This window comes from Homo sapiens, chromosome 9 (assembly GCF_000001405.40).
Source record: "Homo sapiens chromosome 9, GRCh38.p14 Primary Assembly".
NCBI lineage: Eukaryota > Metazoa > Chordata > Mammalia > Primates > Hominidae > Homo > Homo sapiens.
Window position 1 is genome coordinate 123078300 of NC_000009.12, and position 26764 is coordinate 123105063.

A 26764-nucleotide genomic window follows, 5' to 3' on the forward strand; every position below is an offset into this window, starting at 1 on the left:
ATTCTATTTAAAATGTTACATACTTCATAGGTATTACGGCTAACAGTTAATGATAGTTTACCATGTGCTTGGTACTATGGTTAAGTGCTTTTATATGTGGGGATTAGCGACGATATCGTATGTACAGTGTTTAACATAGTGCCTGGTAGTTAGTAAGGGTCCAAGAAATGATGGCTACGACTATAATTATTTCCTCCCTGATCGTTAAGTAGATAACAAACATTTTACAGTAATATTTTCAAAGAAAATAGGTTTGCACAAAGCATAGATAGAACCAAGTGAGTTCTGAGATTCTTTGAGTCACTCTTCCCACCTCAGCCTGGTTCAGCACACAAGAGGATGCTGCCTCTTTTTTGTTCATGATTTCTTTGCCTCCAAAATCCCCTTTCTCAGTGTCCCCATCTCAATTAGGGGTACCTGGTTGCTCAGGCCAAAAACCTTGCTGTCCTCTTGACTCCTCTCTTTCTCACACTCCACATCTATGCTCGTCGTCAGAATATATCCTGACTCTGATCACCGCCACCTTCATTATTAACATCCTAATCTAACCATCATCATCCTTTCCTGTTTCCACAGTGGCTCCCTCCCTGGCTCTTCTCTATCGCATGTCTCCTTTGCTGAAAACTCACGTTTCCACCATCCAGAGGCATCCTGCATTCAATTTTGCTCCTTTTCTTTCCAAATGTTTTTTATGCATTCTTAAATAATTGAGTTCATACAGTCAGTATCATTTTTCTTCCTGTTTCATGCAATTATACGGATTTTCCTCACTGAGATATTGTGTGTAAATAATCAGTTGTAAATGGTTATATAATTCCTCTGCTTGAATTTGCCTCACTGTGCTACAGTTTATTTAACTGTGCCCCCTTGTTTGTTTCTTTTTTAAATTTGTTTGCTTTTGTTGTTGTTGTTTGTTTTTTTGTTTTTTTGTTTTGTTTTGTTTTTTTTTTTTTTTTTTGAGACAGGGTCTCGCTTTGTCACCCAGGCCGGAGTGCAGTGGCGCAATCTCAGCTCACTGCAACCTCCGCCTCCCGGGTTCAAGTAATTCTCCTGTTTCAACCTCCCAAGTAACTGAGATTACAGGTGCACCACCATGCCCAGCCACTTTTTTGTATTTTTGGTAGAGACAGCGTTTCGCCATGTTGGCCAGGCTGGTCTCAACTTCCTGACCTCAAGTGGTCCACCCCCCTCAGCCTCCCAGAGTGCTGGGATTACAGGTGTGAGCCACCACACCCGGCCCGCCACTCTTGTTTAAATTTTTGTTGTTGTGATGTGAACGGTTTTATACATAAAGATTCATTGGATTTTAGAGTTTTTCCTTAAACTCTGATTCTTTCTCCTACTACGTTTCCCCCTTCTCCTTCCAATTCAGACACGCTGGCCTCCTTGCTGTTCTCAGACCTTTGCACTGGTCAGTCTCTCTGCTTGTAATGTTCTCCTGAATGTCTGCATGGCTTCACTGTCCCCTCATCCAGTCTTCGGCTCATATATCCACAGCTTCTCAAATTGCAGTATCTAAAGTAGCAGCTCCCCCAACCTTTATGCCATTACGTCCTTATCCTATCTTATTTTTCCCTACTGGAATGGAGGCTGTGCAGCAGAAGAGACAATCTCTTTGGCTTACTGCTGAATCCACAGTACCAGGAACAGGATCTCGCTTATAAATATCGATTGAATAAGTGAATGAATAAATACACTGTTGAGTGTCTACCATGTGTTTTACAAAGAAGAGTTAACATGGATTTGGGCAAAGCTTAATAGTTTCCAGCCAGAAGTTTTACCTTTTGGATTCCCATTAGCTTGAAACACTTTAATAATATATGGATCCTTTATTTCCATATATGGAAAGGTGGGGAAAGTCCAGATAGGAGGTATCTAATGTCTTTTTTTTTCTTGCCTATGCCTTCAATGAGTTAAGTCTGACAAGGCTGCCTTCAGTGTGTCTGCACAGCACATATATTTTGTGCTTAGATATATAATTCCTTCTAGACCTGGAGAACTTTGCATGTTTGGGGTACACTTTGGATGTTTCCCCCTATTTGCACATGATTTCAGGTGAGATAGTAGTTTTTCTTGAAATCGGCTCATAGCCTGAAAAGAGTACAGATTCACCAGAACATAAGAGAATGGGATTTTTCTGCCAGAAGGTGAGCTATGGTATGTACAGTTTAGTTAGTGATGATTTGTTGTCTTCTGGCAGCTATACTTAATACCAAAAAATTTTAAGAGAGATACACACAATAGTTGAACCTGTTATGGGCAAAGTGATAATTCAGTGGTAACTTGCCAGTTCAAAATTAGGAAGTCATTGGCAAGTGCATCCTGAGCCCTGCATTCTGTGGCTTGCGTGAGGTATGAGTACACATGAGGATCTGTGGTTTGAGTCCATTAGACCTCGAAAGGGCGGTTCATGATATGTGGTTCCAAAAGCTTGTTTGGAAACAAGCTTTTGAACTTTTTCATGTGGAATTTACAAAGGTAACTTTTGCTCTGCAACTCACTGAAATCTCTTTCCATTATTTTTTAAATGTTTGTAAATTGTGGCTTGGTTTACTCAGTTGTACAGTTGACCTTTGAACAACATGGTATGAACCGCATGGGTCCACTTATACGTGGATTTTTTTCAATAAAAGTTATACCAACTATGCCTCCTGTCTCCCCTTCTACCTCTGCCTCCTCCACTTCTGCCTCTGCTACCTTTGAGACAGAAAGACCAACCCCTCTTCCTCCTCCTCCTCAGCCTACCCATCATGAGGACAACCAGGATGAAGACCTTTATGATGATCCACTTCCACTTAGTGAATAGTAAATATATTTTCTCTTCCTTACGATTTTCTTAATATTTTCTCTAGCTTGTTATATTGTAGGAATTCAGTACATAATACCTATAATGTACAAAATATGTATTAATTGACTTTATGTTTTCATTATGGCTTCTGGTAAATAGTAAGCCATTAGTAAGTAAATTCTGGGGGAGTCAGAAGTTACACGTGGATTTTCAGGTGCGCAGGGCGTCAGTGCCCCTAACTCGTGTTGTTCAAGGGTTAACTGTACTTCCTGATAATCAAGGTGAGAATTGGAAATATTTTGCCTCACATGCCAGTCTAGGAAAAAGATAGCTACTTTTGTTGTCATTGTTGTGATATTTGGTCTTTTGAGAAGGGTCTTGCTCTGTCACCCTGGCTGGAATGTAGTGGCACAGTCATGGCTCACTGCAGCCTCAACCTCCCAGACTCAAACGATCCTCCCATGTCAGCCTCTCAAGTAGCTGCGAGTACAGGCATGCACCACCATTTCCTGGCTAATTTTTTTTTTTTATTTTGTGTAGAGACAAGGTCTCTTTGTGTTGCCCAGGCTGGTCTCGAACTCCTGGACTCAAGTGATCAACCCACCTCTCCCTCCCAAAGTGCTGGGATTACAGGTGTGCGCCACTGCGCCGACCATTGTTGTGTTTTAATATTATGATATTGTTGTAATTTGTAGTATTGATATAGTTCTTAAAAGCATCTTATTTCTTCCTCACAATACCCTGTGAGATACAATAGGGCACATCAAGTGACTTACCCAAGTCATACCAGCTGTATAGTGACAGACCACCCTAGTAGAACTGAGGCCTCTGACTCTTATGTTCCCAATGCTTTCCAACGCATTCCACTGTCTCTTACCATTGCAAAGGTTCAAGAATTAAATTTGGTGTGGCAGTATCTGAAATGGCCACAAGATGGGTGTGTTGCTCAAAAATGTCTATCTTCTTCTCGGTGCCCTTGGAAATTTTTTTTTTTTTCTTTATAAATCTTTGTCTGTCTCAGTCCTTACTTGCCTCTCTACTTTTGTCTTTTTCAGGCCTTTTACTTCTCCTATTCTCCCTCTTTCTCCTTAAAGTGAACTTATTATGGAACTGAAATGTTTTACTTATTTCTTGAGGAGTTTAGATCCCCTGCTCCTAAACTAAAATTTAACAGTGTACCTTAGAACTCATTTAGCTATCCATTGAACTTCTCCCGCTTTATGGGTCAGTGACCTGAGATAGAAAAATTGTTCCACTTCTGATAGAGGATCTAAAAGGAATTCCATTCTAAATAGATTATTCTAGAAGATCATTTATGGACCTGGGAGCCCCACAGCCCTTTCATACAACTGCACCTTGCATAGTCTTTAGAGGGGAATATTGAAAGGTCTTTTAGATTTTTGATTCAAGAAATATGCAAGGGAAGCTCTTTCTTCATGTCTGTATAGGCATTTTTGAGAACAAGTGAGACATATGAGGCTAGTTTAGAAGACCCAAGAATCATGCTCTAAGAGATGGCCCAGTGAGTTTCCTAGATCAGACCTGAGGACTTGGCCATTTTGCCATAGAATCCTGCTTAAGGTGAAATGGAATTGCTGAACCATTGCTTCATTAGAACGTGTCATTTTAAACACAACGTGATGTGCCAGACTTCAAACTACTTGTAAGAAAAGATACTAGTACAAAAACCAAATAGCAGTGTCTCCAAATTAATATAATTCTTAACCATTTGCTATTTGGAGAAACAGAAAACTCTTCAGCATTTTCCCTTGGGGGATATTTTTATTCCAGAGCTTAAAAACAACACTAGTTTGAACTTCATTCTCTGTTCAAATTGTTTGTGTAGTTAGTATGTATTAGATTTAAGCTCTCTGAGGGCAGCGACTTCATCCGTCTTGTTTGTTGATGGATTCGCAGAATCATACACAGTGCTCTCATACAGTGAAATAATCCTCACAGTGACCATATGAGGGCCTTTTAGGGATGTGCATACTGAGACATAGAGAATTGATGTAAACTCTCAAAGGATATAAAGTTAGTAACTAATGGAGTTGGGATTAGATCCCAAGAGTTTCAGACTCTGAAGTCAATTCTTATGGGCATTCTGCTTTACTGTAAATGATGGATTGAATGAATGGGACAGGAGCCATTTGTGTGTTATCCCTTTTTAGTGATGTTAGTAATGTAATCTCAATCTCTGTGTCAGAGTTGAAACTTATTCTCTATACACTACACAAAGTTCAGCTTTCTTTATAACTAGACCAGACTGTAGTTTTATTTCTTTGCTTGTTCCTACCTTTTAGAATCAGATTTTATGAGGAAACTTCTGAATGGATGCTCTCTCTGTAATGAACCCTAAATTTTGCCAGTTGTTGCAAGGGTAGCAGTGGGCACTGCCTTCTTTTAATAAGCTGGTCTCCCTTAGTCCTTATCTGTTTGGGTTCTCTGCTACTAATTTGCTTCTTCCATTTTAGAAAAACACTCTGGTGGTAGAACCAGAATACCTAATTGTACTTAGTGATCTTTGAAGGAGTTTGAGTATTAACTGTTTGAACAAATTAAATAAAAAGGCTCAGAAATTAAATAGAATGTTTATTTCCATTGGTGAAGAATGCAGACCTTCGAGACCCACAGACCTTGGCTTTTATCCTGGCTCCGCCTCTGCTGTGTGACCCCAGGGTAGGTTAACATCGCAGGGTTGTGACAGAATAAGATGATGCCTTTAAAGTGGCTGCTGCTTGCATCCCTCAAATACGAGTGTTCTTCTGGCCTGCCCTGTTTTGACCTTTGCCCAGGCATCCAGAGTACTTTCCTTAAGTCAGTTCAAGTCAACAAACGCTTGTAGATTTTCTTATGTGTTCAGCACTGAGCAGGCCACAGAGATAAATAAGAAACAGGAATCACCCCAAACTTGCATTCTTATGCTGGCATTGCCACTTAACACTGGGTCCTTAACTTTGGACAAGTCACCTATCTATGATACGGTATGATGTGAGCCATCTGTGATATGATAAGTATCACCTGTGATATGATCTATGATAGAGTAAAATGAGGGAGATAATCCCTGCTCTACTCATCTCAATAAGTTGTTTTGAGAAGTAAATAAAATAGTAGATATGTAGGCATCTTGTTATCCTGAAAGTCCTGAGTAAATCTCAGGTTCTTTTTATCAGTAACTAAAAATCAGTCCCTGTCCTGAGCATTAAACAGGAAGATAGACTTGTGTCAGATTTCTTTATTTAGCTTTCTGATAGTCCTACCACATGAAGCAATGAAGACTTTGGAGTCAGGATCTCCTTAATGTACCAGACTCTTTCTTACCCCCCACTGTCTACCCACTCACCCAACAACATGCTTCTCTCTCGCCATGCAGAGCTACTAATGTTCAACCTCCCACTTCACTGGATTCCCTATGACTCCAGCTCAGCAGAGATTCTGATTTTGGCAACACTTTTTTAAGCCAAACTTTGAAAGCAGCTCCACTTCCAGAGGGTAGCCTGTTTCATGCTTTTCTGTGTTAAATTGACTTTGTTTAAAATGGCTCTTTGTTTGCAGCACATGTTCAGAGTTGTAGCTGTGTCTCTTGATTCAGGACGGGATGCCAGGTAATAACGACAAATAGTAGCTAAAATTTATTGAAAATACTTCACTGTGTGCTAGGAACTTTTCTGAGGACTTTATATATATTTGATGTTTTTTGATCTTCATAACAGTAGTCTTCATAAGGACTGTTAACGATTTTTACAGATGAGGAAATAGAGGCTTAAGATTAGGCAGCTTGCCCTTGGTCACACAGTAAGTCATTGGCAGAGCCAGGACTCCAGCCTTGGTCTGTTCCACCTGCACAGCCCGAGCTCTTAGTGGGCAGGTTGTACCACGTCGCGCCTGCCCAGGTGAGCAGCCACTCTCACTCTTTCTCCATGTGTGTTGCCCTTGCCGTCCCTGTCTGTTCCAGGGGCTGATCAGAGACCAGCTTCCCCAAGGCAAGTGGCATAGATTTTAAGAAAGCACATTATCTAGTTCCTGTGACAGATTAATGACAAGTGAGTGACCAAAGGAGAGATGTTTTGGACTGAATTTGTGCTTCTATCAAAATAACAAACTGGCATGTATCAAGTCTTCCTTCTCTCTAATTTAAGGTTTCTTAACCTGGGACAATGGACAGGCCTCAGGGGGCCCATGAGCCCTCTGAAATGGTATGTAGAATGTTTTGATTGTGAAGGGAGAGGGGAAGTTGGCTTCTGTGCATTCTTTATTGGAGAGGAACCATGGCTCTCAGGAGACTTTCAAAGTAGTGCTATTTCTAACGGTGTTAAGAACCCCTGTGCTAATACAGTGGGGTATAAGGTTGGTTTTACCAACAAACCCAATCTTATGCTAAGTATTTGTTAGGCTTCTTTTCCCCCAACAAAGTATATTTAAACAGAACAAGGATTGAATTTCAAATTTAATTTTCTTTGAGGGCAAAAATACCTCTGTTTGAAGCTGTGATTTCCAAAGCCTTCTGATAGGAATCAGTGAACAGCGGGTATGATTCAGAGCTCTGAGTCTAAATCCATAGCTTCCCTTGCTTCCCGAATTCAATTAAAAGTTAAAAGTAAGAGAAAAAAATGAGTCTTGGACTTCTAAGTCTCTGTTCATTAAGTGTTTTCATTCTTATTGTGTGAAACGCGTTAGGAATTTCACAATGAATAGGACTTCCTGCCCTCATGGAGTTTGTACGTTGGCACCTATATATATCTTTGTATTGCTAATGCCACTGCACATAGTAGTGCTTAACTATTGGTTAAATAAATGTCCCTGCTGCATCTTTATTAAGGTAAAAAGGAAGCCTTTGGCTTTGATTTGTTTAACATCCTATTTTTATGAGTCCCAACTACTTTCCAAGCATTGAGCACTGGAGATACAATAGTAAGCATAACAGATATGGCCTGTCTCCTGGTGGGAAGACAGACAATTAAGTAGAAACCTAAGTAATCGTGAGCTTGGATTGGTGCCATGGATGAATTGACTTGATGCTATGAGAATAGTTACATAACTGAAAGAACTGGCCTGACAGGACGAGAGTATGAGGGAAGGGTTTGCTAAAGAAGGGGTGTTGGAACTGCAATCCCAGAGGTGAATAGGAGTGAGCCAGGTATGAGGTTGTCCAGGCAGAAGGAGCATGCTTGCATTGCATGTCCACTTTGGTTGCCATTTCCATTCAGAAGAAAAGTCAATGCAAGGAAAAGAGAGTCCTTTCTCAGTAATTCAGCAAGCATTTCTGGGTACTCGCTATACATGAACAGGGGACAACAATGAGTGAGAGACAGTTCTGGCCTGGAGAAGACATTCATAATGTCATAGGCAGGCTGGGAGGTGCTGGCCTCTCCCAGATATGGCCTCAAAAGGAGGCTTAAAATGCCCCTGCTGCTGCTGGCACCTTCTGGTTCCCCATTCGGGTTTCAGGCATCAGCCTTTATCTTGGAATTGGTGCCTCAGAGGCAGCCTAAACTAGTTGGGTTTGGTATGCAGCCACCCATGCTGCAAAAGTCAGCATCAGCCGTGAACCCATGAGAAGCTATGGTGTTTTTATTGATTTTGTGTTTGTGGTGAGTGTTTAAGGGAGAAAGGGAGGGTGGGAGGGAGAAAGAGAGAGACTGAGAAGAGGTGAGGGTGAAGACTGGGAAAAGACTGAGCTGGTGAAGAAGTCAGGACTCTGGACCAGCAAAGTCTGTGAAGACAGCAGAGCTTTGTGTACACCCGTTCCTGAGAGGTGACCCCTGAGGACTGATTCGGAAGTAAATGAAGACCATCAGCTAGAGAAACAAGCAGAGCTCTTAGAGAAACCCTGTATAATTATGAAAATGATACTTAAACAGCATTCTGTTTTTCCTAATTATAAAAATAATTCATACTCAATGCAGAATACTTGGAAGACATGGGAAAAATGAAAAGAAACACCCATATCCTATCATGAGAATGTAAGAAGCAAATGAGATGTTGGTCCGTGTAAAAGTTCTATTATTTACCAGGTACTTATCACACACCAACTCTTGTTATATATGATACTGAGGGAGAATCAACCCTATTACTATGAGGGTGAGGCAGCTATAATAAGGGTTAATGAAATATAGAAGACATTGTTTTGTAATTAGCCTATTACAACATATATCTATGGGGAAAAATGTTAATTCTTCCTTACCCCAGCAAAAGAATGAAAAGTTGAAGAAACTTGAAGATTTGTGAAAATGTTTTACAGGATTTGGTGTCAATTTGTTTTTTTTTAATAAAGTGCCATGGGAGCCTCATAACCACTGCCCTTCCTCTCATTTATTCAGAATGCAAAAGCACTGGGATGAAGTGTTTGCTGTTCGCAGCCGCATTTATTTTCTGTTCCACTACTATTGATCTGTTAGGATTGTCTATACACTTACTGATTGCATAGACATTTTACTTAGGTGCTTTCTTTGTGAGTCACTTAGGTACACAATAAAAGTTTACCCTAGCATTGGGCCTAAACTGCAGAAGATCTCAGCTTAAAGATGTCCTGCTCCAGTTTGTGGCCTCACCCCAGGTGTTGAGTGAGCATCTTTCTGTAGAGGTCAGCTGGAGCAGAATGCTGTCTTCCTGGCTGTCTAACCTTGGGCAGCAGCCAGACTCCAGGAATAGAGCTCTGATTGAGGCAGACCTGCAAACAGCCTGACTAGGGGAGGTGTCCACAGTCAATGGGAGAGGAACACACTCTCCCACTGAGAGCGTCTGGAGACACTGACACCAACACGCAGCAAATGTGGGCCTATCCTGTTCCCTTTCTAGGTCTTATTTCTTCATCTGTAAAATAAGAAAGTTAGAGTGGAGTAGATCTGAGAGTCCTAGTTACCTGGACCTGGGGACTAACAGGCAGATTTCCACGTCAGCACTTTAGTGCTGATTACTGAAGTTTCAGGAAGGGATTACCATTAGTTTCATATTCTTTTTTTTTTTTTAATTATTTAGATGGGGTCTCTCTCTTGTCACCCAGATTGGGACACAGTGGTGCAGTCTTGGCTTGGCTCACTCCATTCTCAACCTCCTTGGCTCAAGGGATCCTCCCACCTCAGCCTCCAGAGTAGCTGGGACTACAGGCACATGCCACCATACCTGGCCAATTTTTATATTTTTTTGTAGAGAGAGTCTTGCTGTGTTGCCCAGGCTGGTTTCAAACTCCTGGCCTCAAGTGATCCTTCTGCCTTGGCCTCCCAAAGTGCTGAGATTACAGGTGTGAGCCACTGCACCCAGCCATAATCAGTCCTTAAATTGCACACATCTGTTTTTTTTTTAATCACTTTTCTATTATATCTCATAACTTTTGAACATGTAATTTAAAACAATGCCAATGCCATAGGGAATGGCTAGCTGTTCAGAGGAAGGAAAGATAGTCACCCAGCCTGGGCAACATAGCAAAACTCCATCCCTACAAAAAATAAAAATCAGCCAGGTGTGGTGTCGTGTGCCTGTAGTCCCAGCTCCTTGGGAGGCTGGGGCGGGAGGATCAACTTGCCACAGGATGTCAAGGCTGCAGTGAGCTGAGATCACACTACTGCACTCCAGCTTGGGTGATAGAGATCCTGTCTCAAAGAGGAAAAAAAAGCCAGTTGCATCTTGAAGGTATGTTGCCCTTGGTTATAGTTTAGCTTGAAGAAGGAGACAGAGCCAACCAGTAAAGAGGGGGAAAGCCTGTTACCTAGAAGGAAAGCCAAGAGAATAAAGGGAGAAAAGATTTTCTAGAAGAAAGCAGAGAAGATTGGTCATGTTAAAGCATGAAAGTCAGGGAGTTTTGAAGTTTAGTTGGGGAGATGTAAGACCACTGGACAGAGGAAAAAGACACCACTGGTGACCTTCAAGAGGGTTCTTTCATAGAGTAGTCAGAGCAGAGGCCTGACTTACATTAAGGAGGGGCAGGTCTTGAAGCAATGGAGGTGAAGATATAGGCCTGTGGTTTGCAATGGTGGGTAAGAAAAGGCTTGAGAGAAAGAGAACAATAATCTGATGGGGTGAGAGGGCATCTAAGCAGAGTAGTCAGCACAGCTGTGTTTTTAAGGGTAGAGATAACTGTCTGTTTGAAAGCAGCACAGAAGAAGGTAGGAGAGAGGAAAGGGAGGGGATAGAGAGGTGCTAGGATAGTGAGGACTTTGGATGGAGTCCAACTGCCAGGGCTCAAATCCCAGATCTCCCAGTCCCTTATTGTGTGACTTTGGTCAAGTTACATAACCAACCTCCTTATACCTCAGTTAACTTGCCTATAAGATGAGGATGAGAATAGCACACCTCGTAGAGGTGCTGTGAGGTCACAGATTTAAAGGATTTAGCAGCAGCACTGGTATATGCTAAATAAAATGGTGGCATTATTATTAGGGACAAATAGGACCCAGAACTTGTAGGAGGAGCCGTCTGTAGGGTGTTCATTCTAATACTGTCAGTTAAAGCCTTAGGACCCAAACATCTCCAACAGAACTCTAAACGCATTGAGAATTTGGGGTCCTGGGCTTATACCCTACTCTGATGATTTCCCTCCAAAAAAATAGGAAATACCACATCCATAATGACTGAGATTGCCCAGGCCACCAGAAGTCTTGGTCTTCAGTGCAGGCACTGAAGCACCCACTACTTTCTAATACTTCTTAATTTACCCTATGATTTATCCTACAGATTAGTCAGAAGAAGTTGAAAAAATACGAGAAAGAATATCACACCATGAGGGAACAGCAGGCCCAGCAAGAAGACCCCATCGAGCGATTTGAGGTTTGTTTGCTTATGGCCTACGTGTGAGGAGCTCCCATGCTTTCATTTCATATGATTGCGCCTGTAACTAGCTTTATTGAGTCCTTTTTAAAATTCAATTCCTCTGTAGGTTCAGGTTTGAGTTTGCAAATTAGCAAGCAAGATCTGTTTTTGCTTCAAACCAGCTGCCTGGTTTGTTACAGTTCAGTGGCTTTTCGTCACAGTTAACAAATAGTAGGTGCTTGACAAAGTCACTTGAATCAGTTAAGTATTTCTTTATGGAGCTAGAAAATAAGAAATTGTTGATTTGGAAACACATCAGGTCCAGCCATTTCTCTTATTGTTTCCATAGGACTTAGAAATTTATTTTGAGGTTTAGCCCTGAGAAATTTTCATTTCCATCTGATTTTTATGTGTCTGTAACTGGTTTCTTTCTACCCTTCAGCGGGAGAATAGGCGTCTACAAGAAGCTAACATGAGGTTGGAACAGGAAAACGATGACTTAGCCCATGAGCTGGTGACCAGCAAGATTGCACTACGGAAGGACCTGGATAACGTAAGTCCAACGGGTCTGAAGGGAAAGATCTCACTGAGACACTTGACTTTTCCCCTCAAGAGAAATCCTGGAATTTTAGTGATTGTTATTCTAGCCACCTGTAAAGTTTCCCGCTTGTGATACAACTTGCTTGTCAGTGTCACTTCCCTCCTTTCCTTCAGGAATTATCTGTTGTCTCACAAAGCCCTCCTTACCACATTCTTTTCTCATTGTGCACATAATCCTTGAGCTTCTTTCCCAAACATCATTTGATTAAGAGACCTTGTGGTTAATTCTTACATTACTATAATTGGCAGGAGCATTTAATCATTATAATTACGTTAACCTCCCTCCTCAGACAGGAAGAGATTTTGTTATCCTACATATTTGGTGACTGTTGAAAAAGCATTGCCAGTTGGAATGCAGCTCAGTACCTCAGCAACTTGCAGTTTCATCAGGAGTTTCTGTTGACAGATGTTTCATTTTTCTTTGCTTCTCCTAATCTTAACAATTTTGGAATGATGTCTTTCCTGGCAGAAACCCTTTTCTATTTTCTGTACTACAGACTAACCTTAGAAGAAATGGTATAATCTCTCGATCATGGTTTAGGTCAGAAGTTGGCAAACATTTTCTGTAAAGGGATGGATAATAAGTGTTTGAGGCTTATGGCCCTACAGTCTACATTGCTACTACTTAGCAAAAGCAGACATAGATGATATGCAAATGAATGAGCATGGCTATGTTCCAGTTAAAAGCTTTATTTACAAAAACAAGTGACAGGCTGGATTTGGCCCTTGGACTGTAGTTTGCCAACCCTTTAGGTTTCCCTGCTAGGCTCCTAGGATTACCTTTCTACTCATTGGTTTCCTAAAGTTCCAGGGATGGGCTCAGGCTGTTGAGGATTTTTACGGGGGTCTTACATTATATGCACTGAAATAGGGTCCATGAATTTCAGGATGTCCTTGACATCCACCAGAAGCTTACAAAAATTTTGTGTACTCATGCATTTCCTTGAAAGGCTATGCTTTCATTTAGTTCTCCTAGGTAGAAAGACTATGGTTTCATCAGATTCTCAAAGTGGTTAACAGGTGAGACAGAGACCACAGTATCTACCCATTCAGAAAATGTAGGATGGACCTGGATTCTAATGCCAGCTACTCTGCTTTCAGCTCACCTTGGACACCTTGTAAAATGAGGGGTGGTAAAATAATAGCTATGTCACAGGGTATAGAGAGAATTACATAATTAGATGTATATGAAAGCATCATTAAAAAAAAATCAGGCACAGGCATTGTTAGCGCCCTCTGCTTGTCTGCTTGTCATCTACAAATAACTGAATTTAACAGGGAAGGCTCCTCTTTGCAGTTTTTGCAGGGAGAATGTTTCAAGGTCATTAGCCCTCAATGACCAGAACCTGAGGTCTTTTGATGGCTTTTTGGCTTACCACAGTCTGCTCATCAGGGTTGAGTTTCCTCCTTACGGTGCAAATTCCCAGCATATCCTCTGTTCCTCTTTGTAGAAACACTATATGGGTCATTCTCTCCCTGTTCGGGTATTTCTGCCTAGTGAGTGGAGGGAGGCAGGTGTACATGGAGCAGGGACTACTGAAGCAGGGCCAGAGGTGTGTGCCTAACACAGCCCTCATAACAGCCATGGGTCATGCAGAAAGGAGGAAAAAAAGGAAAAGAAAAAAAATATGGGTCTTGAATAGGAGCCTTTGTGTCCTACAATGAAATTAAGAGGCAGCTTAGGCTAAAATTCCAGGTGGATTTTTAGTTTGAGCTGTTGTATTTTCCAGTCTAACAGGCCCAGTATTAACAGTGACACCCACTAGTGAGTCGTAGACTACTTATGTTCTTAAAACCTGCCCCTAAACAGTATAAACCCTTTTTCAAGTCATCTTATCCTGACACAGTAGTGAGAGAACCAGGTTTCATTCCTGATATTAGGAGTGCAAAATAATAAGAATTATAATATGAGCTCCCATTTACTGATGATTTGTGGTGCTAGGCACTATGATAAGCATTTTACTAAACTTTGATCTCTCTTACCCTTACCTCAGCCTTGAGAGAACAGTAATGTAAGTTCCATTTATGGATGAGGATTTGTTTTTTTTAACAGCTATAAAACTTGAGATTCAGTTGAAGGTACCCAGGAAGAAGCAGAGCCAGGCCCATGGAACTGGAATGCCCAGGCTTTTTTTTTACAGTGCCAGCCTGTTTCCACAGTAAATATGGGACAAGGAGCTATGAATCAATGTCATAACCGTATCAAAAACATGAGGACCAGGGATTGTGACATAAGAGCTAACATTTCTTGAGCACTTACCAAGTGCTAGGCACTGTTCTAAGTGCTTTCTATATATTATCAAATCCTCAGAGTAGGCCGTGTTGTAGAAGGGATATAATTATGATCCCCATTTTACTGATGAGGAAACTGAAGCAAAAAGAGGTTAAATATCCCACACAGATCACCCAGCTAGTGGCCAAGCCCTCAAATTGAAGGGCTGACACCAGAGCTCACCCTCCTAAGCAGGCGGCAGGGCTCAGGAGCATCACACCAGGGCCCATCCTGCAGTCATCTAAAATGCTGCAGACACACCTTTCCCACACTCACTTTCCCTTCCCAAGTTAGACTTCTCTCTGTAGTTTCTTCTGAATCATCACTGAAAATCAGCTAGATTCTTCCTCACTGAAGGGAGGAGTGTGGGGCCCTTTCATTATTTTTTTACTTTAGGGACTTAGGTTTTTGAAAGAACGTCATTCCTTTGAGCTCTTTCCTTCCTGCATCTCAGAGAAAAGCTCTGGTGTGAGGCTTTAAAATTTCCAGGGCCCTCTTGTATTTTCGGTTGATTATACATCACTTTTGTTATTCATCACCTGTCACTTTTGCTGTTCTTCACACAACAGCTGTGGAGAAATTCCATGCCAGCCACTTAATTCCTCGGTGACCCCAATCAAGCTTTCTGTATGAAATGGGAGTAATGACTAGACCTGACACTGGTGTTAAAAGGATGAGGGGAAGCTATGGAAGGTCCCTGCAGAGCTGATAGGACCATGTCCGAGTCCCCTCTAGCAGGGTCACTCCTCTGTGTTGAGACAGACATGAGAGTGAAGGAAACTTGCTGGTGAGCCCAACTGCTGTCCAGCAGGATGTAAACTCTGCCTCAGCTCCTTATTAGTTCTGTGACATTTTGCAGATTGCTGAACTTGCCCCATTGAGTTAGCTTGGCCCCTTTATTAAAAATCAATTGACCCTAAATTGGCGGGTTCACTTCTTGATTCTGTCTGCTCCGTCTGTTTCTGTGTCTATCCTTAAGCCAATACCACACTGTCTTGCTTACTGTAGCTTTATAATAAATCTTAAAATCAGTTCATGTGAGTTCTCTGACTTTGTTGTTCTTTGCATTTCTGTATCAGTGTTAGAATCAGCTTATGAATATCTAGAAATAAAAGCCTCTGGCTTTTGAGTGAGGTTCATGGAATCTGTAGATCAATTTGGGGAGAACTGACATCTGAACAACAGTTGAAGCATTCAATCCAGAACATGTTAAAATTTTCCTTTATTAAGATCTTTTTCAGTTTCTCTCAGTAGCAATGTTTTTTAGTGTTCAATTTACAAGACGTGCATGTTTTAATCTATTTTTGTAAAGTGGTATTGTTTTTTAAATTTCATCTTCCAGTTGTGTATTGCTAGTCTCTAGAGATGCAGTTGGTCTTTGTGTTGTGACCTTGTATCCTGTGACCTTGTAAAAACTCATTTGTTAGTCTGGCAGCTTTTTAAATATATTTTTTCAGATTTTCCACATATACAATCATATCATCTCTGAATACAGTTTTTCTTCCTTTCATATTTATCTGCCTCTCTTTTTCTTGTCTCACTGCACTGACTAGCATCTTCAGAATGATGCTGAATGGTTAGAGTGGACATCATTGCCTGGTTCTGGACATTAGCTGTAGGTTTTTCGTAGAGTAGGTTGAGGAAATAAATTCTCCTCTGTTCCTGTTTGCTGAGAGTTTTTGTCATGAATGGGTGTTGAATTTTGTCAAATGCTTTTCCTGTGTCTGTTGAGATAATCATTTGGTATTTCTCCTTAATTTTGTTAATATAGTGAAATAAATTCACTTTTCAATGTAAACCAACCTTGCATTCCTAGGATAAACTCCAGTTGGGGTTTCTATTTTTTATTAAAGATTTTAATTCTTATTAAATATTTATATGTTCATAAGGAATATTTGTCTGGAGTTTTATTTAATGTTTTTGTCTGGTTTTGTCATTAGGGAATGCTGGCCTCGTAAAATGAAGTGAGAAGTGTTCCCTCTTGTTTTCTTGAGGACTTTGTATATGATTGTTCTTTGATTAAGTCTTTAGTTCCCTAGTGAAGTCACGCAGACCTGAAATTTTCTTTGCAGGAAATTAATTGTGAATTCTTTTTCTTTTCTAGATATGGAGCTATGCAAATTTTCTAATTTTTCGTGTGTCTGTTGTTATAATTTGTGTCTTTCAAGTAATATATCCATTTCATCTTAAGTATGTTGATATAAGGTTGTTTGTATTCTTTTAATATTTATAAGATATGTAGAGATGTTTCATTTTCATTCCTGATGTACGTCATTTCTTTTTCCCACTTTTCCATAACCAACTTAGCTAGAAGTTTATCAGTTGTGTTGATCTTTTCAAAAGCCAGCTTTAGCCTGGGCAACATGGCAAAAATTAGCTGGCTGTGGTGTCACATGCCTATATTCCCAGCTACATAGGAGGCTTAGGTGAGAGGATCACTTGAACCCGGGAGGCAGGGGCTGCAGTGAACCGAGATCATGCCACTGCACTCCAGCCTGGGTGACAGAGTGAAACCTTGTCCCAAAAAAAAAAAAAAAAAAAAAAAAAGCCAGCTTTTGCTTTTATTGAGTTTTCTCTGTTGTCTTGTTTCATTGATTTCTGCTTTTACTTTCTTTGGGTTTCATTTGCTCTTTTTCTGGCTTCTTAAAGAGGAAGTTTGAATAACTCTGGACCTTTCTTCTTTTCTAAAATAAGCATTTAAAGTTATTAATCTCAGCCAGGCACAATGGCTCATGCCTGTAATCCCAGCACTTTGGAGGCCAAAGCAGGAAGATTGCTTGAGCCCAAGAGTTCAAGACCAGCCTGGGCAATATAGCAAGAATTTGTCTCTACAAAAAATTTTTGAAAAATAGCTGAGCATAGTGACACATGCCTGTAGTCCCAGCTGCTTGGGAGGCTGAGATGGGAGTATTGTTTGAGCGCAGGAGTTCAAGGTTATGGTGAGCTATGATCGTACCACTGCATTTTAGCCTGGGCAACAGAATGTGACCCTGTGTCTTTGAAGAAAAAAAAAAAAAATCAGAAATCTCCATGTAAGCACTATTTTCAGCTGCATTCCACATACTCTGATGTGTTGTGCTTTTATTTTCATTCAGTTCTTGTGATTTATTCTTTCACTTATACAAGTTTATTAGTAGTATGTAATTTAATTTCCAACTATTGTTTTTCCCAGAAACTTTTCTGTTATTTTTCATTTATTTCTGTTGTGATCAGAGATTATATCCTGCCTGATTTTAATCCTTTTAGAATATACCATTACTTATTTTATGGCTTATCATATAATCTATTTGGGTGAATGTACCACATACACTTGGAAAGTATGTATGTTCTGTTGTGAGTGGAGTGTACTGTGTCAATTAGGCCAAATTGGTTGATAGTGCTCAAGTCTTATGTAGAACAACTTGATTTTCTCTGCTTGTTCTGTCGCTTCCTGAGAGAGCACAGTAGAAGGTTCTGTGACTCTAACTGTGCATTTTTCTTTTTCTCCTTTTAGTTGTGTAGGGATTTGTTTCATGTAATTTGAATTTCTGCATACATTTTGGATTGTTACACCTTCAAAGGGTATTACCAAGGACAAAGAGGGACATTTCATAATGATAAAAGAGTCACTCTTTTACCAAAGTAAACAGATGGAAAAAGATGTACATACCACACAATACCATGAAAACTGGACTGGCTATAGAAATGTCAGATAAAGTAGATTTCAGGACAAAGGGTATTACCGAGGACAAAGGGTATTACCAAGGACAAAGAGGGACATTTCCTAATGATAAAAGAGTCACGCAATTTAATTGCGTGCATTTGCAGTTTGCCAGTAATTAATGGCCTTTTGAATCTGCGTATCATGCCATTCTCAGTTCCACCTTTTTTTCTCTCTCTTTTGAGACTGAGTCTCGCACTGTTGCCCAGGCTGGAGTGCAATGGTGCGATCTTGGCTCACTGCAACCTCAGCCTCCTGGGTTCAAGCTATTTTGCTGCCCTAGCCTCCCAGGTAGCTGGGATTACAGGCGCCTGCCACCACGCCCGGCTAATTTTTTGTATATTTTTAGTAGAAACAGGGTTTCACTATGTTGGCCAGGCTGTTCTCAAATTCCTCACCTTGTGATCTGCCCACCTTGGCCTCCCAAAGTGCTGGGATTACAGGCGTGAGCCACCGCACCTGGCCCAGTTCCCCATTTAAGGACCCAGCTCTCTGGAACCTGTTTCTTCCAAAGAAGATACAGGAAAGGAAATAGAGTATAGTGGAAAACTCAGTGGCCCAGTTACACTACTTTAGGTGATGTCAGAATTTCAGGGAAATCCTATCCATATCAGGAGCCCAGCAGAGACCCTCTGTATTTAGTCCTTGAGTCTTCTCTAATATGGTATAGTCAGTCCTTCTTCAGTTATCTTTGGAGTGCCCAGCACCAGGAACTCGTATGTCAGGCAAAAGTATATCATTTTCACTAGAACTCACAGATACGCCCACTAGACCTTTTGCATGCTTTAGAAAAAGACTGGAGTGGAGAGTGGCCATTAAAGATAAGAAAAAGTGCCAGGAAAGGGGCAGCCTCCTTTATCAGGTAATAACAAGAGAAAAATGCCAGACGGGTTGGATGAAGCAGAGGAAACACAGCTTGGAGGAAGAAAACCAGTTTATTAATAATAATGATGGCTACCTTTTATTGGTGTTTACTGTATTCCAGGCACTGTGCTGAATGCTTTTCTTGCCTTATCCCTCAGATGAAGAGCCGGAAGCTTAGAGAGGTTCTCAATGACTTGTCCAAGTGGCACATGGTCAGTGAACAATGGGCGATGAGTCCAGGCTGTCTGATGCCAAAGGCTAAGCTCCTAACTACTGCCCTGCACTACCTCTGAGCAAGAGACTGGGACAGGCACTTATGCATGAGTGTATTCTCATTGTGACCCTGGGGATATAATTTCCCCTCTCTGAATCAGAGTTTCCCCATCATCTTAAAATGGGATTATGCTAAGTAATGGAAATCCTTTGCAGTTCCCAATTCTTGTTTTGTGACAGCATATCTTAAATGTTTCAGGCTGAGGAAAAGGCAGATGCTCTGAATAAGGAGCTGCTGATGACCAAACAGAAGTTGATTGATGCAGAAGAAGAGAAAAGACGGCTGGAAGAAGAGTCTGCTCAGGTAAGGGAACTCTCCCACATTCCTCTGTCTTGCAAATGCTTGAGAACTGGGAGTTCAGCTGGTGGCTTCCTGTTGGCACTAGAAAACCTAGAGACATCTGGCTTCAGTTTCTTTCCAAAGACTTTTTTTTTCCCCCTACTGTGTAAAGTCCAATGGTTCCTAATTAAAGTCTAGGAGGAGACAGTGGGTTGAAGCCCATCCTTTGTTGGGGCAGGAGAATTTCTGTGTATCAGCATCTGAGCATAACAAAGAAGAGGGGGTAGAATTCCTGCAGAAGGAAAGCACACATCATATAATGCCTGGCTGTTTCCCTACTTGTCCTCTGCTGTCTCCCTCATAGAGCAAGCTTGGGAAGTCTTGTTCTGAGCCAGTGCTCCATAGTCATTGGAGACACAGACCTGCAGGCATGGGAAGAGCTCTGGGTGCTGTGCGCCTGGGAGCAGTCCCCTCCCCTGTCACACCACGGTCGTCCAGGAGGCAGGACTGGCTGGGGTGAGAGACTGCAAAGCCCTTTCTACAGAAACCATGAGATGCTGAAAACCCGCAGTCCTCTTATGAGCTCTTTGGTTTGTGTCTGGTCTGTCAGTGAAGGTCCACAGGTTGGCTTGTACTGGCAGGGAAGACCTTCAGCAGAAGCCTCAATCTGAAATGGGGTCTGACGTTTTTGGAAGTTTTAACTGTTCTCTCCCTCTCCTGCATCAGGAACAGGGGATTAGTGCTGCCAAGATTGAAGGAAGAAAGTAGCTGAATTAGAGGACTTCCAGGGTTTGGTTCAGCAGTTTTTGGGAAGCCTAGCACTAAGCGGTTGGTGGCAGAACTTCCTTTATTTTTCTGTTAACATAGTCCCTTTTGTTTTTTTATGTGTGCAGTTAAAAGAAATGTGCCGTCGGGAACTCGACAAGGCAGAATCTGAGATTAAAAAAAACAGTTCTATCATTGGTGACTATAAGCAGGTAGGTTCCAGTACCCTGGGATTGGGCTGTGTAATCTGGGAGCCCCTAGTCTGGATAAAATGTATACCCGCCCCCCACCCCCAAACCCAAATGCAAGCACCCTGGTTTCAGATCCTGGCTCTGCCCCTGCACTGACAAGTGGCTTCACTTATTCTCAGTTGTAAAAGAAGGAAAATCATCCCTGCCTAGGAAGGTTGTTACGAGGATTTAAAAAGACCATGTTTGTAGAGTGCCTGGCAGTGCCCAGCACATAGTAGGTACTTAAAACCACAGTATGTTTTGGTATGTATTTCAGATTCAGAATTACGAACTTTTGTTTACGTGTAGTTTTAAACCGGTTATTTCCCTGACTGGTTGAGTTTTAAGAACATAACAGAATGGTCTTGTTCCCTCCTACACTAGGATCTCTTGCTGGCTCATGAGTCTGGCAGGTGTTCAGAAACCATTGGCCATTGAGTGTGGTGCTGCTTGGTTTCTGCAAGTCCTAGGCCAGTGAATGCAGAGGCGGCATAGCTAGAAGAACCCCTGCTTATCCATCGACTTCATATCCCCTCCTGAGCGGTAGCAGGCTATTTGCTACTATGTTAATTCCAATTTACATATTCCAGCTTCCACTATGGAATTTATGCAGATGATTACAATTGCTCAAGAGATTGTTGTTTTATATTTGTTTCTTTAGATTTGTTCTCAGTTGAGTGAAAGATTGGAGAAGCAGCAGACAGCCAATAAGGTGGAAATTGAGAAAATTCGGGTAAGACTTCTCTTTACCTAAAAGATTTTATACCACCTACTTCATTTTATGGCTGTATAAACAGGTTTTGGGAGGAGGCAGTTGATTTCAAAAGTGAGAGAATCTAAGCAATAAGGCACCTGTCACAGGTCCTGGCTCAGTAGTTGACAACTAACACTACGCCTGTTTTCTCTGGAAGGGTGTACAGATGAAATCAAACAAGCTCTAGCTTTAGATCTCAAAGTGCAAGTGCCCCATGATTTCCAAATGTCTGTAAGGCAGTCGATGTCCGCAGTGTGATGCTGAGGAGAAGGAGTCATGCAAGTGATAGGTCTTGCTTGAGGTGGTGGGAGTGCAGAGGTCAGAATCATGTGCTGTGGCTTGTCACTTTCCAGTGTTGTTCTGAGTTCATGCCTTCTGCTGTAACACATCCAATTACAATGAGGACCTTAGTTTATTTTTATTTTTTTTTATTTTTAGAGACAGGGTCTCACTATGTTGCCCAGGCTGGCCTTGAAATCCTGGGCTCAAGCGAAATCCCTCCCTCAGCCTGAGCTGCTGGACTCCAGGTGGGCACCATTGCGCCCAGTTTAGAACTTTAATTGTTTAATGTTTTGTTGGCAGCTTAGGAGTTTTTATAACATGGTGCTTTCTTTCTTTAAGTTCTACCTGTATTACAGAACTTGTCAGATTTTACTAAGATAAGCAATTTACTGAAAAGTGCCTCACTAACATATTTACAGCTCAGAGGACAGGAACTTGGGAAAGTTCTGTGCTCATGGCTATGTTTGCGCAAAGCAACATTACCTAGAGCAGGATGACACTGGCCTTCGTCATAATTAATGTTTAACCAGATGTGTGTGTGTGTGTGTGTGTGTGTGTGTGTGTGTGTGTGTGTGTGTGTGTGTGTTTGAGACAGAGTCTTGCTCTGTCATCCAGGCTAGAGTGCAGTGGCGCCATCTCGGCTCACTGCAACCTCCGCCTCCCAGGTTCAAGCTATTCTCCTTCCTCGCCTCCCAGCTAGCTGGGATTACAGGCTTGTGCCACCGTGCCAGCTAATTTTTCGATTTTTAGTAGAGGTAGGGTTTCACCATCTTGGCCAGGCTGGTCTCGAACTCCTGAGCTCGTGATCCACCCGCCTTGGCCTCCCAAAGTGCTGGGATTACAGCTGTGAGCCACTGCGCCTGGCCAACCAGATCTGGTTTTTAAACAGAACTTATTTTCTGATTCTAAAACTTTAATATTCTTGCAGAAAATTTGGAAAAGAAGAGTAAATAAGGGAAAAAAGCCCTTATGATCCATTTTCCACATATAACATCTTTATTAATACTGTGGTGTGTATTCTTTCAGTCTTTGTTCAGTGTTTAACGTCTAAAATTTCATTCATTCTGAGATAAGCATTTCTTTTCACATTTACATCTCTGAAAGTCGGATGTTTTATAATTGGCTTTTTGTGGTTTAATTGGCAGAATGTTTTCTTAGAGGAACATAAAATGACATTTCTTACAGTTAATGGCATCTTATTTTGATGAAATGTGGAATACATTTTATTTGTAATCATAGTTTATGTACATTTTTGTGTTCTATTTCAACCAGCATGCATCCATTTTCCAATGTTATAAAAGTTCCTCAAAAACCTTTTAGAGGCTGTGTACTTCCTTGTATAAATATAGCACAGTATATTTAATATTTAATTGTTTTTGAATAGTTTATCCCCTGCTTTTTTGCCTGTCTCCAGTTCTACAGTGAAAATTTTTGTACATAAATTTTTATCTAGTTACAGCTTCATTTTTCAGCCTGGGTTCCTAGAAGTGAGATTACTGAATCAAGACAATGATAATTTTATTATTTTTGGTGTATAATACCAAGTGGCTTTTCCAGTAGGTTATCTGCCAGTTTACAAAGAGCACAGGTTTTCAGAAACTGTAGTGCTCAACAGAGAAGCCGTCTCTTGGTGTCCCCCAAAGGAGATGCTCACACCATCCTAAAGGGCCAGTTCCTCTTCTTTGCCTCTTCACATCTAACATTCAATTTCAGCAAAAAGTGGATGACTGTGAGCGGTGCCGGGAATTTTTCAACAAAGAAGGGCGTGTAAAAGGCATAAGCTCAACCAAGGAGGTTTTAGATGAGGACACGGATGAAGAGAAAGAGACGCTCAAGAACCAGCTGAGAGAAATGGAGCTAGAACTGGCACAGACCAAACTCCAGCTGGTGGAGGCCGAGTGTAAGATACAGGTAACAGCAGCAGAGCTCAGACATGTGCCTGCGGGCTGGGTTTCCTGATGTGCACTAGAGACCCCAGAAATTATCTTTATGGTTTGGGGTTTTTCCACACCTTTTAAACTTTGGTCACAGTTGTCATGAGAAGAAATATAGGACTTGTTACTGGCCAGTGGATGTCTCATCAGTATTTGGCCTGTCTTGAGGATTTCCGCTGTCATATTGAGAATAATACACAAAAGCTTGGAATCTTTTGATGGGATGAGAAGACAGTGCTTTAGAAACACAGCTCTACCACTGAACTGTTTGACCTTGGGTTAGTAACCTCCCTACATCTCAGGTTCCTTATCTACAAATGGAAATGATGAGAGTCCCTATCTGATAGGTTGGTTTGAGGACTAAGTAAGATAGTGTGCACAAATGGCTTGGCAGAATGTCGGGGGCTTTATAAATGCAAGCTTTTGTTCTTCCAGTTCCCACCACTTAACTAGCTTTGTGACTGTTAATATACTACCTATCTGAGCCTCCTTTCCTGATAAAGAAGTTAGGGCTTGTTTTGGTCATCTTAATACACATTGCTAGGTCCACCAGCACCACTAAACCCTAAGCACTGTTTATGGAGGGAACAAGTTCAGGATAAAAGCTTTAGGGCTGATTCTCCCTCATGGCACACATTCACTGGGCATCTGCTCTTTGGCAGGCCCTGTTATAGGTCTGGGACTGCAAAGCTAAGGCCTGGTAGTGTGACTACCCGGAATAATCAGGAAAGGCATCACCAAGGCAGCAGTAGCTGTGCTGTGATCAAAGAATGCACAGGGCTTGTAGCTACAGGAGAGAGAGAACAGTGGCAATTCCAGGCAGAGGGAGTGGCATGTTCAGCAGCACAAGGAGGAGAGTGGCTGCCCAGGAAGGACCCTCAGGAGTTCTTTCCTTGCAGTAGGGGATGGAGGTGGTGCTAAGGCTGGAAGAGAGTGTGTGGATCCAGATTGCGAAGCATTTCAAATGCCATGCTAGGGAGTTTAAAGATTTTTGCCAAAATGAAATGATGTCACCAGAAATAGAGCATTACCTGTCTGCCTGGTGTGCATTAGGTGGACAGAAGAGGGAGACATAGCAAGTAGAAGACTGTTTTAATAAATAGACCAGGCAAGAAATTAGATCTTAACTAAAAGCTCCCAAATCTTTAGGCATTTCAGGCATTTCTATGCCAGTTGGAGACTGGGGGAATTCCCCGAGGCCTCTCCAGAGTAAATAGACTGCATTCTTGTCTTGGTTCTCCTCTGGGGAGCCAGTGTCATTGACACCAAGCCCAGCATCCTCATGCACACTGTTCCTCTTGCAGGACTTGGAACACCATTTAGGGCTTGCCCTCAATGAGGTGCAGGCAGCCAAGAAGACGTGGTTTAACCGAACACTGAGCTCCATAAAGACAGCAACCGGGGTTCAAGGGAAAGAGACTTGCTGAGAGCAGCTGCCGCCTCCCGACACCTTCAGAAAACACGACACCTTTTGTTGCCTTCTTTGGCCAGATGTGTGATTCTGTGACTTGTCCCAGGACCAGAATGTACCTAAGTCAGATCCATAGACGCATGTTGGTAGGTCACTGGACCAGAGCTTGTGAAGCAGGCAACCTCTGGGGTAAGACTACTGATACTAACAGGCCTGCTAGCTCAGCCGACGCTCTGGACACTCTAGAAATCACTCCTCAGTGTGACCTCCCAGGCCTCTTCCCCGTGTACGTCAACACCTCACCCAGCCTAAAGGCTGAGTTTACATGATCAGAGTTAGGGGATCCTTCAGTCTGTTGATTTTTTTTCTAAACCTTTTTTTTTTAATATACATATATATATATATATATATATATATATATATATATATATATATATATAGTGGGGGTGGGGCAAGGGATCAGAAATTCAAATAATTCTTTTCTGCTTCAATGCCAGCAGAAGGTCCCCCAGGTAGACATGGAGAAGCACTTTGTTTTAAATAGGAGGGTTTCATAGTTGCATCTGAAGCCACCTGGTTCTGTTAAACTGTATGGTGCAGGTTTTGGGTTTGGCATTATTCATGTTTCTGATCAATTCTATGCAACTCTCATAGTTCCTGTTACTTTTTAGCATTAGCTGCCAAATGACTTCAAAAGGCTGGGGTGGGTGACTTGACTGTGAGACTGGATTATAACATGGACAAATCTTATTTTGCTTAATGTGTTTGTGTGTGTGTGTGTGTGTGTGTGTGTGTGTGTATGTATATATATATATAAATATCTTTCCCAATATGCCCCGTTGACAGTGTTTAAATTCCAGACTAGGACTGCTGATCTGCACAATTTAATTATGTGGTTATTCGAGCACTTAATTTCACTCAAGGTTCATTGGGCTCTGCTCTCCTCCCTGCCATTACGGGAGCTGTGGACAGAGCTCCCTCACTTCAAGATTCCTAGTGTTTTTGCACAACAGGTTGTCCAAGTGAGAAAGACTGAGTTGCGTGTCTGTAAATGTCTGCGCAGGGTGCACATGCTGCGAGGTCTCCATCCTCCGGGCCTGTCCCTCCCAGATGGGCTGGGCCTTTGGGCCCTCCTCAGAGTATGCCTGGGTACAAACCTCACTGTTCAGATGGGCTGTAAGTTCTCACTTCAAAGCTATGGAATGGATTTTAGCACCTTTAAAAAAAAAAAAAACTTTGACTTTTAATTTATATAGTGATATGCTGACAGGCTGACACGCAGATGGTTTTGTCCTCTTTTCTGCGTTCAGTGTTGAGGCGGCTGCTTACAAGAGGCACTGGTTTTGTATATAAAGACACTCGGGTTGTTTTGTAGCTCTTTTTCTTATTGGCTGTACTAACGCTTGCTGAGGTTATCTGTAATAAGGGAGGTAACAAGTGGCAACCCCCTCCCCACCAACCATCCCCTTTGCTGCTTTCTGTGTCTTTCTTGTTCAGTTACCAAAATAGCTGTAAGCCTATCTAATGCTAGGTGTGTGGACATTGTGCTAAGGTAGTTTCAGTGTGTCAACTTTATGAATTGAAATATAAACCAGTAAAATTGTATTACTGTTTCTTTTGTTGGTTTTATTTTAACAGCATATTGATTAAATATTTTGGTACAAACAAACAGCATTGCTTTGTAAAAACCAGTTTTGTCATCACCTACTCCTGTCGCCTCCCCTTCTTCCCTCATCCCCTGCGCACAGAAGCAGTCAGAGAAGACCACTGTGTGTGCTGTAAGAGAGGCATGTGTGAGCGCGAGGCAGCCCCTCACCCACCTGTTGAGACGTATGGAGTGGTAGGGTGTGGCAGGCCACATGGGGC

The 26764-nt window shown here is 41.8% G+C and overlaps 1 protein-coding gene across 11 annotated transcripts in view, besides 1 other annotated feature; it reads left to right on the forward strand.

Moving 5' to 3' along the window:
- Nucleotides 1-26567, forward strand: part of RABGAP1 (RAB GTPase activating protein 1) — a 173196-nt gene extending 146629 nt beyond the window's left edge. For all 11 annotated transcript variants that reach the window (XM_047423130.1, XM_017014567.3, XM_017014569.2 and 8 more), the window contains 7 exons: nucleotides 11459-11551; nucleotides 11976-12086; nucleotides 19442-19546; nucleotides 20416-20499; nucleotides 21179-21250; nucleotides 23267-23464; nucleotides 24792-26567. In XM_047423130.1, coding sequence (XP_047279086.1) covers nucleotides 11459-11551; nucleotides 11976-12086; nucleotides 19442-19546; nucleotides 20416-20499; nucleotides 21179-21250; nucleotides 23267-23464; nucleotides 24792-24914 — 786 coding nt within the window. In that variant the 3' untranslated portion in view covers nucleotides 24915-26567. The remainder of the gene's footprint in view (nucleotides 1-11458; nucleotides 11552-11975; nucleotides 12087-19441; nucleotides 19547-20415; nucleotides 20500-21178; nucleotides 21251-23266; nucleotides 23465-24791) is intronic.
- Nucleotides 24271-24565: a silencer, noted in NCBI's record as "tiled region #8358; K562 Repressive non-DNase unmatched - State 17:Gen3'". NCBI's record gives its function as "represses a minimal TATA promoter and a strong SV40 promoter by Sharpr-MPRA in K562 cells {active_cell/tissue: K562}" and the evidence as "EXISTENCE:reporter gene assay evidence [ECO:0000049][PMID:27701403]".
- Nucleotides 26568-26764: the final 197 nt, after the last annotated feature.